At 40.6% G+C, this 12,948-nt stretch overlaps 1 protein-coding gene across 11 annotated transcripts in view, besides 1 other annotated feature; it reads right to left on the reverse strand.

Annotated features, from left to right (window-relative positions):
* The window catches only part of PIEZO2 (piezo type mechanosensitive ion channel component 2), a 479,323-nt gene that overhangs the window by 243,560 nt on the left and 222,815 nt on the right, over nucleotides 1-12,948 (reverse strand). The gene's annotated exons all lie outside the window — the stretch shown is intronic.
* Nucleotides 8,011-8,512: an enhancer, noted in NCBI's record as "NANOG hESC enhancer chr18:10921815-10922316 (GRCh37/hg19 assembly coordinates)". NCBI's record gives its function as "activates a minimal SCP1, AML or CMV promoter by ChIP-STARR-seq in naive H9 embryonic stem cells {active_cell/tissue: H9 hESC(naive)}" and the evidence as "EXISTENCE:reporter gene assay evidence [ECO:0000049][PMID:30033119]".

The raw sequence follows: 12,948 nt of genomic DNA on the forward strand, positions 1-12,948 counted from the left end.
CTTTCTATTCACCAGAAATCAACTTAATAATTTCAGTGTCTGACATACCACAGGCTCATCATTTTTTGCCATTGATACTTTCCTAACCATCTTAACATGCTAGGTATGAGACTAGATATATTAAAATATGGTTTCTGCCCTCAAACTCCACATACCCTAGAGGTTTGGATTTTTATGTCTTTTGTGAGCACTTAGTCATGATGAAACAAGAAACACACAATAAATGGAACAGACATGTCCAGATCCTTTGGCACCACGAATATTTCTGGCAGCCCATTATTCAGTTGCTGGGGAATTCTTTTAAAGCCATTAACCATGCTTTACATAGTAAGGTAATATTATTCACTTTCGCCAAAGCAGTCCAACACGGGGAAAGTAGAGAAAACAAAAGTAGCTGGCAGACTTCCTTGATTCAACACTTTTTAAATGAGATTTATAATGTAGAGAAGTTTAAAACATGTTATTTTTTTTTTTTCAGGAAAACCGAAACAGCAACAATAATTAAAAGGAAAATATATAGCATGGAGAATGGATGTCCAGTCATCTCTCAGTATCCACAGGGAATTAATTCCAGGACCCCTGTGGACCCCAAAATCTGCAGGTGTTCATGTCCCTCATATAAAACAGTGTAGAATTTGTATATAACCTTGCAGCCCCCTGCATACTTCAAATCATCTGTAGATTAATTATAATACCTAGTAATAGATATAAATGCTATGTAAATAGTTGTTATATTGTACTGCTTTTTACATTTGTATTGTTTTTATTGTTGTATTTTTTTCAAATAAGCTTTTTCAAATAATTTCGATCTGAGGTCAGTTGAATTTGTTGGTGCAGAACCCATGGATACGGAGGGCCAACTGTAATTCATAGAAGGGATTTTTTCCTTTCAAATCTTAGATGAAGCAGTTAGAAATAATGAACTGTGATTCTTCACTTTCAGAAACTGTCCTTTGTAGATCCAGTATCCGGTCAACAGAATTGAAATGCAGAGCGGAAGATGGCAGAGTCCAGACACGGTAAACAAACCTTGGACTAAATTGCATTCAGCTGCAGAGCAGGTCCCAATGTCTACCACGTGTGTCCAGGGTGACAAACCAGCCTTTAAGCTCCTTTCAGGTAGGATGTTTCCTCCTGAATAAGTAAACCAGCCATCGCTCCTTTACGAATGAATCCAGCTCTGCCTGTCCATTCTCCTCTCACCCTCCCTCTTCCACCCTATCTACCTATCAACCTCTGTGGCTTCCATTTTCCCTCCTCTCTAATAACATTGCTGCACCACAATTAGCTACATGGGGTCAAGATGGAACCTCTGCCAGTTTCTGCACCTATCTGGTAGGAAGCTCTCTCTCCTCAGCTGCCAGAAAGCCAGGCTCACCCATGACCAAGTTTGCTGCCACATGCAACAGCCTGTGTGTAAGAGGGAAGAATGGGTCACGTGTGCAGAGGGAAGCAGGGATGGAGAGAGGAGGCTGACCCCTCATGGCATCCCCATCTGCCTCTGTGCACTCCATCAGGATGCCCTCGCCTTCCCTCACTTCCCAGTTACAGGGAAGAAAAAATAACCTGGGTCACCTATTCTCATTTTAAGTCGGGGCTCTGATACCTGTATCTCAAAGAGCACTCAAGATAGACAATGAAAATAAGAACAATTCCTTGAACATCCAAATTTTAGGTAGTAAGGAAAGCAAGTTTAACAATTTCTAGCCATCTTTAGTCCTATTTTAAATCAAGAGTGGCATTTCCCCCAAATTAACATAGCAATAAAACAGTTTGCAGTTATTAATCCCTTACCAAGTAGGTGCTAGCTTCCTATATATTAGCTAACTTAAGCTTCTCAAATACTCTGTGAAATTAGTACTATTACTACATCCCCTTTTCAGGTGAGGAAACCAAGGGTTAGAGATTAGGGACCCCAAGGCCAATGTTCTTATTTACCCATTGGATCGTCTCATCTTGGGAACTGTGTTCTGCGTCCAGAATTGGTGGGTTCTTGGTCTCACTGACTTCAAGAATGAAGCCGCAGACCCTCGCAGTGACTATTACAGTTCTTAAAGGTGGAGTTTCTAGATTAGCTAGACACAGAGTGCTGATTGGTGCATTTACAAACCTTTAGCTAGACACAGAGTGCTGATTGGTGCATTTACAAACCTTGAGCTAGTCACAGAGTGCTGATTGGTGCATTTTCAAACCTTGAGCTAGTCACAGAGTGCTGATTGGTGCATTTACAATCCTTTAGCTAGACACAGAGTGCTTGGCAGAAAAGTTCTCCAAGTCCCCACCAGAGTAGCTAGACACAGAGCACTGATTGGTGCGTTTACAAACCTTGAGCTAGACACTGTGCTGATTGGTGCATATACAGTCCTCCAGCTAGACACAAAAGTTCTCCAAGTCACCACCCAACTCAGGAGCCCAGCTGGCTTCGCCTAGTGGATCCCATGCCAGGGCCGCAGGCAGCCAGTCCCACGCTGCACGCCCCTGCACCCCTCAGCCCTTGGGTGGCCGATGGGACCAGGAGCCGCCTAGCAGGGGGCGGCGCCTGTAGGGGAGGCTCGGGCCTGTGCTGCAGCCAACCGCGGTAGGGCTCAGGCATGGCAGGCTGCAGGTCCGGAGCCCTTCCTCGAGGCGAGGAGGCAGAGGCTTGGTGAGAATTTGAGCATGGCGCTGGCGGCCCAGGAGTGCTGGGGGACCCAGTTCCCCCTCCACACCTGCTGGCCCGAGTGCTAAGCCCCTCACTGCCAGGGCGTGCGGCACCAGCAGGCCGCTCTGAGTGTGGGGTCCGTGAGGCCGCGCCCATCTAGAACTCGCGTCGGCCGGCGAGTGCAAGCAAAGTCCCAGTTCCTGCCCATGCCTCTCCCTCCACACCTCCCCACAAGGAGAGGGAGCCAGCTGCAGCCTCGGCCAGCCCAGAGACGCGCTCCCATAGTGCAGCAGCGGGCTGAAGGGCTTCTCAAGCATTGCCAGAGCGGGCCCCAAGGCGGAGGAGGCACCAAGAATGAGCGATGGCTGCCAGCACGCTGTCACCTCTCAGTTCTAGTCTTCCCTTCCTTCTCCATATTCCTGTTTTTATTCTCCTCCCTATCATGTGTCTCCTGCCTCCTGCCATCTGATTATAATTTTTAAAAAATACCTTTTTTATTCCACAAAGTTGTAGTGTCTGATGATGAATTCTGGAAGCCTGTGAATGCCTATAGAAGTTCTCTGTCATCAAACTTCCTTGCACACGACCTTCCATCCAGGCCCTGAGAATTCTCCTGTGTTGATTTTGTTTAACACTCCCCAAGTACAGGGGGAGTTCGTTCTGTACAAATATACATAGACAAAAGGTCGGTCACCCACCAATATGCTCTCCGCAGCTGATGGAACAAGGGAGATTATTTTTTATTTCCTCTAATTTTTTTCTGTAATAGTGGTTTAAAACCACAGGGCTTTGCTTGTTACTTTAAATCAGACATCTGATTTCTAATAACAGCTCTGCCTCTGGTCATCTTTATTTCCTTAGACAAGTTACCCTTCAGTCTTTCTCCTCCCTTAATATAACACAAAAGGGTTTTTAACAGGCTCCTTTCATTTTGCAGTTTTATATTTTCATGAACATCATCACTGGAAAAGAAGACATCTCTGTCTTCATATTGTAAATTCATTATTCACTTGGTCATCATGTTTCTTCATTGATTACTTTTACCAATCATTCTTTCAATGGATTCATTGCTCAATTTTTACTACAGAAAAAAGTAACTTCGTTTTCCCTCTAGGTTACCTAATGTAGTGGTAAAACTGGTGGTCAAAGGAGGCACAGTTTTCATTTAATTCAACAGTTTTTCATGAAGCATGTCTCAGCCGCTGAGAGCCACCTGAATGTGGACCTGCCCCTCTGCTTCTTCAAAATAATCAGCAGAAAAGGATTAATAATTCATGGAAGTGGTGGTTTTTTGCCAGCATATTCCTATAAAAAGGGAAATATTTTCACATACTGTAGGGGCTGCCAGGCAGCTGAACATGTGGCCTGGCACAGAAATTGGTGATGAAACTAAAACATCAGGAAATTGTACCACTCATAACTTTTCTGCCAGAAGTTTCATTTACATTATTTTTAACTCTTCAGAGGAAGAGATTTTCATATCTAATCAAAGGAGCCAAGATTTTTTACCATGCATTGAACACTGAACATAATGTGAAATTCTAAGAGAAAAATAGATTTTTCCTCTCAATTAATAGTGACATTTTACTTTGCCAATATTAAGATGATCTTCTGTTGAAATTTAGCTGAAATCTGTTTAACCCCAGAAATGGCTGCTCTAATGGATGATATATACCCAAGGAATACAATTTTCTCAGCAAATGAGTAATTTCAGCCTTTTGGGTTAAATGGTGAGATCTATAAAATTTTCCAAGTCCTATTTCCCACATGAGGTTCATCATTAATAGATTAAAAGTAATTGTAAAAGAGATAAGACAAAACATTATTTATCATCCCTTAATTAATAGTTTTCATATTTAATGACACATTGTTTTTTAAAATATCATTTTCACATCTACCTAATACTCTTGCAATGTCTATTTTCCCTGATCTGATCATAAATATCTAGATGGCACAACCTTAAGTATATGATAATTGCTGTTGTTTATATTTGGCTTTTTATCCCATGTATCCTTTATCAGTTCTTTTCATAATGTCTTAATATTTTGTCATATTATGTGAAGGGTGGGTGATCTCGTCATAAAAGACAAAAGTCAGAATTCATCAGTCTCACTATCAACATATGTTCAATGGTGCGCTTTTCAAAATAAATAGCTTTATATTTTTCCTTATTTGTAAAATAACAATGATTTACAAAACGTGAAAATACTAAAAATCTTTTATTTTTGCATAGACTCCCCCACACACTAAGACCAGCACATACAAAATACAACCACTCTATTTCGAATCCTGCTTTAATTACATATTAATATATAATTAACTCAATGTCTATAAATATAGCCATGTAATCACTTTACTGCTTATATAGTGTTCCATAGTTTAACAAAATTTAATTTCTGATTAATATGTAAATTTATATCTACATTTTTGCTGTTATATATAACATTGCAATGAGCAACTATACCTATATCTTTGAACATTCATTCAATTATTCCTTTAGGGCAAATTCCTAGGAGTATAATTATAAGTATATGTAAAATTTTGATTAACGCTACCAAAATTCTAACCCTCAAATTTATTCAAATATATGTGCTCAATTGAATTTTTTTAACACAGAGTTGAGTTTTTTATAAATCTTTTTTATCTTTTACAAAACATTTTATTTTAACTTACATTTTTATAATTAGTAATAAAATAAATTTTCTTAGGTTTGTCAGAAATTTTAACATTTTATGTGCATGTTGTGTGAATTGTCTCTTCATGCCCATTGTCTATTAGATGTTTGTCTTTAATCCTTTAATCCCAAATATGGCATATCTGCAGCCAATTCATTTGCCCTTTAGGTTCAAAATTTCATATACTAACTTCCCCGAATAGAACTGATGAATGTTTATCATGATTAATTTCTACCATTTTAGCTTTTGAATTTTTCAATTTTCTTTTGTTGTCCCAGTAAGTGCAAACAAATATTATATTTGTTTTTTGGCCCTTAGGAATTTTTTAATATCCAAATACGTCAACTCAAGAAGGTATTGAATGAGTTCAACACATGTGTTATGCCCTCATTTTGGGTTGGCCAGTCAGGCTGAAAAGACCCTGCCACACCTACTCACTCTTTGTAGAGACTAGGGCAGGTCTGTTCACAAACATCCATGCTTCAACACTCTCATCTATGCATGGAGGGTACTGCAACACCTTAACATTGTTTCTTTTCAAAAATTACTTCCATATTACTCTCAAAAGAAACATGAATCCTAAATAATTAACTCCATCATCAAATAATGAATTTTCCAAGATAATCCTTGACTACAAGATTTCTGGTTTAAGATTGGTTCTGATTGGCAGTCTATAACGCTTCCTCTACCAACTTCCCACTAAAGTAGATGTAGACACACTGGAAAGTAGAGACACACACACACACACAGAGTAAGTTGAGTTACTAGTAAAAATCCCTTTAAGAACCTTGAAAATAGAATCATAAAGGAATTTTCACTAATAGGTCAATTTAACTGAATTGCAAAACTCAAATTATAGTGTTGTATGTGTATGTCTCCCGTGGAAACCAAGCAAACAAGCCAGCCTTGAAAAAGATACAAGTATATTTCATTCTTTTCCCACAGTGTTCCCCCTAATTCAGAAACACAAGATTCGCACTAACTAGAAACTGGGCAACTGTGTCATTCCTGAATAGAAGCCTCCTTCTGAGAAAGCCAGACTCTTGCTCTTATCAATATCATGATCACCCCACCTTCCCCTGACTTCTATTATCTTTCTACATCTAGTCCCACTCTCAGAAACAATGGGGCAATTGGGCAGTAAGAGAGAGTGTGCATAGCGTGTGTGTTGGGAATCATAGAAAGAAAGAAGCCAACCCCCACAGCCCAGTGTCTTTTAGGAGATACGGCACTCGTCAGCAAAAAGTTATCGGAACAGTTAGGGACTGAAAATTCCTGGCAATTATACAATATGAACACCGGAAATAGCCTAAATATGCAGTAATTATAAAATGTTTACATATGCTATTTAAATGTAGTGGGTAGTATGTGACATTAAAATTAGATTTTTGATAAAATGTGATGAGAAAACTCAGACACACAGCCTTCATGCAATTTTGTTGGAAATATAGTCAACATGCTGTTACAACTCGTTCATACCCAGGTTTCCATGACTTCAAGTTTTGTGTTCTTTTTCTGCTACTTCAGCAAGAGTATTTAGAGACACAAGACGGCCAATCATAGAATCTGGGGGAAATTAAGAATATTTAAAAAGCAGATCAAGAAAGAGGAACTACTTAAGACAACAAAAGGAGGTGTAAGAATGTGCAGGCCAGGCACGGTGGCTCACACCTGAAATCCCAGCAGTCTGGGAGGCAAGGTGGGCAGAGCACCTGAGGTCAGGAGTTTGAGACCAGCTTGGCCAATGTGGTGAAACACTGTCTCTACTAAAAATACAAAAATTAGCCGGGCATGGTGGTGGGTGCCTGTAATCCTAGCTGTTCAGGAGGCCAAGGCAGGAGACTCGCTTGAACCTGGGAGGCAGAGGTTGCAGTGAGCCAAGATCCTGCCATTGGACTCCAGCCTGGGCAACAAGGGCGAAACTCCGTCTCAAAAACAAACAAACAAACAAAGAATGTGCATGGAGGAGTTTTAAGAAAGAGGGAGTCAAATCTAATAGAGGCCAGCTTTGATTACAGGTGATCATTCATTATAGGCCTTTTGGAGAAGATGGTGATGTGTATCAAAAAAGTTTCAGTGGAATTGTGGAAAAGATAAGGTGACGGAGCAGTGAGTTGTAAACTAAATGGAAGGTAGAGAAGGAGAGACAATGAGGACAGACTTCTCTGTTGTGGGAAGTTAGGGACCCCAAACAGAGGGACCGGCTGAAGCCATGGCAGAAGAACATGAATTGTAAAGATTTCATAGACATTTGTTAGTTCCCCAAATTAATACTTTTATAATTTCCTATGTCTGTCTTTACTGCAGTCTCTAAGCTTAAATTGTAAAGATTTCATGGACACTTATCACTTCCCCAGTAAATATCCTTGTGGTTTCCTATGCCTGTCTTTAATCTCTTAATCCCATCAGCTGAGGAGGATGTATGTCGCCTCAGGACCCTGTGATAATTGCACTAACTGCACAAATTGTAGAGCATGTGTGTTTGAACAATATGAAATCTGGGCACCTTGAAAAAAGAGCAGGATAACAGCAATTGTTCAGGGAATGAGAGAGATCACCTTAAACTCTGACCGCTGGTGAGCCGGGCGGAAAAGAGCCATATTTATCTTCTTTCAAAAGCAAATGGGAGAAATATCACTGAATTCTTTTTCTCAGCAAGGAACATCCCTGAGAAAGAGAATACTCGCCTGAGGGTGGGTCTCTGAACTGGCCCCCTTGAGTGTGGCCGTCTTCTATGGTCGAGACTGTAGGGATGAAATAAACCCCAGTCTCCCATAGCGCTCCCAGGCTTATTAGGAAGAGGAAATTCTTGCCTAATAAATTTTGGTCAGACCAGTTGCTCTCAAACCCTGTCTCCTGATAAGATGTTATCAATGACAATGGTGCCCAAAACTTCATTAGCAATTTTAATTTTGCCCCGGTCCTGTGGTCCTGTGATCTCGCCCTGCCTCCGTTTGCCTTGTGATATCCTATCACCTTGTGAAGTACGTGATGTCTGTGACCCACACCTGTTCACACACTCCCTCCCCTTTTGAAAACCCCTAATAAAAACTTGCTGGTTTTGCGGCTTGTGGGGCATCACAGAATCTACCGACATGTGATGTCTCCCCTGGATGCCCAGCTTTAAAATTTCTCTCTTTTGTACTCTGTCCCTTTATTTCTCAAACCAGCCAATGCTTAGGGAAAATAGAAAAGAACCTATGTGACTGTCGGGGCAGATTCCCTGATACTTCTCTTTTTAAAAAAACAGAAAAAACGGAGATGGAAAGGGATGAGAATGCAGGTGGGAGGTGAGACAGACAAAGAGATGAGGTGAGGCCAAAGGACAAGGTGGCCCTTTAGTGCAAGACCCATGGGAGTCCTTATAAACTGAAGGGTAGGAACCAGGGGCTGAGCAGAGGCTGACAACACAGAGGAAAGGACGTTTCCAGATTCCTTAGTAGCTGAGCGAGGAGAAGACCCTGAGCATGAGTAGAGGAGCATGGCATGAACAGACAGAGGACTCTGAGAGCAGAGGAAACAGAAGACGACTGTCCTGGGGTCAGATGTGCAGCAGGGGATGTGCAGCAGGGGATGGGCAGGCAGGCAGGGAGTTCAGGCAGGACTCATAAGCTGTGAGTGCATGGAGAGGCAAGCTGGCTGACCGTATTTACATAAATGCAGTTATTACAAAATCCTTACATAGATTATACTTTTCAAAGAACTATAACATACAGAACACCAAAACTATACAAAATAAAGCCATCTGTTTTAGACAATTTAGAAAATACTTAAGCATATGGCCATGTTCTTCATTATGAAGAATAGACCTTTACTGTGTAAGTCTGAAATTCTGAGCTGCCTTTGAATGGGCTCCATGATATGCTCTGAAAGCTACTTTAAAAACAAACCTCTGATACCCATTGGTTTATTTGTCTTCTGTCTCTTTCTCAAAAAAGTTGACTATAGAAGACATTTCCAGTAACCATAATTTAAGTGATTTCAAAGCTAGATGAATAGGAGTTTCCTGCACCGTCTCATAAGCATTACATTTGCCCAGAAAACTGCTTAAACTTGACTTCAGACTGTTACTACACTCTGCTTCTATAATGGATCAGTTCTCTGGTTTATATGAAATTCTAAGACGCTTGCATAAGATTTCATCGTACTCATTCTTACATGAACTTCATGATATAATGAAATAAAAATGTAATCAGATAAAAATCTCTAGGCAAATTACTTCCTAAGTGACAAATCACTAGAAAGTGAGAATTGTTATAATTCCAAGTCTGTACTCCACCTCCAGGGATGTGCTTTCAGGAACAAAGGTGGATCTCAGCATTCCAATGAAGCAAGAGTGGCTGTGACTGTGGTCCGGTGCAGCAGAGGAAAGACCTGTGTCTGAGCAAGAGGCCACGTTAGAGAATCTCCCTAAGGACAGCCTGGCAGTCTTGACCCTTAAATGCCACAACATCTTTGTAAGTTAATATTTGCTTCACTTGTACTTATTTTCTAGGTCTCAAATATGTTTCAGTAGCTTCAATGACACTCAGCTTTTATCCCTCCTCAGAGTAGCTTGCTATTGCATATACTTTGAGTAAACTGCACCCATGGTGCTCATCTCCCTCTGTCAGTTTTCTCTCAGAACTGTAAATGAAGTACCCATGCCTGCAATTTCAGCAGGGCAGATGGCAATGATTCAACTCTTGCAGCAAATTAATTTGGCCTTGAATCCCCACTTGCCTCCCTGCCATGGGTCAGATATCATATTGGGACACGTGCTGTAGTTCTATGAGTCAGTCAAGGCATCTCTAAAATGAAGGTCAACACACTCTTCCCATAACTGCAATGAGGATATGTAATCAAAGCATCTGAGCAGTCTCTGGCACAAAGTAGGTGGTAGATAAATGGTAGCCACCAGTAATTGAAGGTTCTCAGCCAGTGTTTAAATGAATAATGCTGCCAGACAGGCATGGCTCAGAAGACACTTATTGTCCAAAGCCACCACAGCCCAATTCCTGCTCTCCACTCTGTCCCAACACACACACCCAACCCTTGCAACATACACACTCTGAAGCAAAAGTGTGAGTTAAAATGAACATAAAGATGCTTTAGTGTCGCTTCTCTTTTTAATTTGGCGCACCGTTATGTTTTGTGGTTTGTTTCAGTTTATCCATGTTGCATTATATACTTTTGCTTTTAGTGTCTGTTTGCCAAAATTCCCCTGAAATTATCCTAGGGGAAAAGCATAGAATGTGTATTAAGGTCAAATCCATAAGTAACTTACTCATTTAAACTTAAATCCTTCATAAAGGGCTTATAAAAATATTCAGATTGGTGGTGTTTATGAGACTGTCCCTTAAAAATACACAAGAGAACATAAATGCAATGTCGGGGATTCTGTCATTTGTGCAGAAGTTCAAAGAGGTCCTATGTTGCGGCCCCACACGTGTGCTAAGGACACAAAATGACTGAGAAAAGTAGCACATGCAAAGTCGACCAACAAGGTATCTTAAGAAACAATTGCATTTTTGCCCAACAAAAATTTCTCTTTTGAGAGAAATAAGAAGAAAATAGGGTAATTTCATTTTTCTTATTTGCCATGATTTATATAATACTGGCAAGCATTTCAATGGAGCATTCTCAGTTTCCATAGGCGGAGGATTTTTTCTTTTATATTCCTTGGGGCATCTTATAAGGCGTTACAATTGCTTTGTACAGCTTGTGGCTTTCTTTACACTAACTACAAACTCCACCTTGCCAGAAGTGTGTGCCAAATAGTAATGTTCGCTTGTTAAAATTAAATAAAGAAATGCCATAGACACTTTGATAGTTAAAAATTTTATGAAAAATAAAAACTTATGAAGCACATTTAGTTTAAACTTACAATAGCAGCTTATTTCTTCTTTTTCCTGAACATATGTCAAATACAAAGTTCAGACAAAAGACCATAATGTTTATTTATTATATGGAGGGCCTGGTGGTTTATAGTTCTTCATTTTTAATACAATTGATAAAAATATATGCCATGATATATAATAAAATAGTAAATGTATTGTTAAATGTATGTAGAAAAATCTTACCATGTGTCACACATTTCAAGATTTTGATTTCAAGTACCATATTCCTGAGAACATTGCATATTTCTACATGATTAGTTCTGTCATTATTTAAATTAGCTTTGCTCTTAAATGTCAGGTATTACCTTTGGGTTAAAATGTTGGAAATAAAACAGACCCGCTAATTTAATAACATCCATGAGACAGGTAAAAGCAAGACACTCACTCAATTTATTCCATAAATGTTGATTGATCCCTCAAATATAATGGACAGTAGGATACGGCAGTAAACACGGATCTTGTGGCATACTGAGGGACAGGTGATAAAAATAATCAGGCTGCATGCACACACATTCCATGAAGAAAATAAAGAGGGAGGAGATAAATGTCAAAATGCAAGGGTTTATACAAAAAGTGAAAAAAAATTTTTTTTTTCTGAGACGTAGTCTCCCTCTGTCCCCCAGACTGGAGTGCAGTGGCTCAATCTCAGCTCACTGTAAGCTCTGCCTCCCGTGTTCACGCCATTCTCCTGCCTCAGCTTCCCAAGGAGCTGGGACTACAGGCGCCCGCCCTAATCTTCGGTATTTTTAGTAGAGACTGGTTTTCACTGGGTTAGCCAGGATGGTCTCGATCTCCTGACCTCGTGATCTGCCCGCCTCAGCCTCCCAAAGTGCTGGGATTACAGGCATGAGTCACCGCGCCTGGCCAAAAGTTTTTTAATGTAAGCAGTGTTTTTTGTTTTTTGTTTCCAAAAGTGACGGATGAACTGTAATCTGAGGTTTGATTTTATGGTTGTTCTTTCACTCATTCTAAGTTAGCTACACTCCCTCCAACTGGCTGCTGTTAGAGAAATATTAATTCTTCATTTAAGATCTTAGGCAGAAGCTCCCCAGGCTTCCTTCTCTGGTTCAGTTTGCATTCCAGGGGAGAGCACTGGATGGTGAGAAAGCTACAGAAAACTAGTGCCTACACGAGTAGACTTGAGTCAGGGTGCAGGAGGTCACAGATCTTCAGGGCTTGGCCCTCAGGGGCATTCCTGGCTGACCACTGCCGGGGGAGACCGGGTGTGCTGGAGGCGGTGGCAGCTGCTCGGGATCTCTACCCAACTCCACATTCAGCGGCGTCACGTTCACAGCTTGGCATCGCCCATGGTAGGAGTATTTAAGCCATGAATATCAGTAAATACTACAATCCAGATCTTTTCTCCATTATCTGGTTATTACAAATTTGCAGTGCACTAGTGGGTGGAACATATTTTTGGTGACTATCTTAGCAGCTGGACGGGCTCAGTTCAATCAGGCAGATGAAACAGGCTTAAAATAGGAGCCTATGAAAATCTGGGCCCAATAAATCAACTACAGAAAAAAGCAGTTCACAGTGACTCCACCTAGGTAGCCCCCTCAACAATCAGACTTCCATTTTATGCTAATTGAGCATTTTTTCCTTTTAGTACTCAGCTTTTAGGAAAAGGAATAATTGAAAACGAAAAAAACTGAAAGCAAGAGCTGATGAAAAATATCATGTCCGGGCCATTTTCTGCACACTTGGCAAAATACCCCGTCCTCTTGGTAGGATCAGCCTGCCAAGGGTGGCA

Source organism: Homo sapiens, chromosome 18 (genome assembly GCF_000001405.40).
Source record: "Homo sapiens chromosome 18, GRCh38.p14 Primary Assembly".
Taxonomy (NCBI): Eukaryota; Metazoa; Chordata; class Mammalia; order Primates; family Hominidae; genus Homo; species Homo sapiens.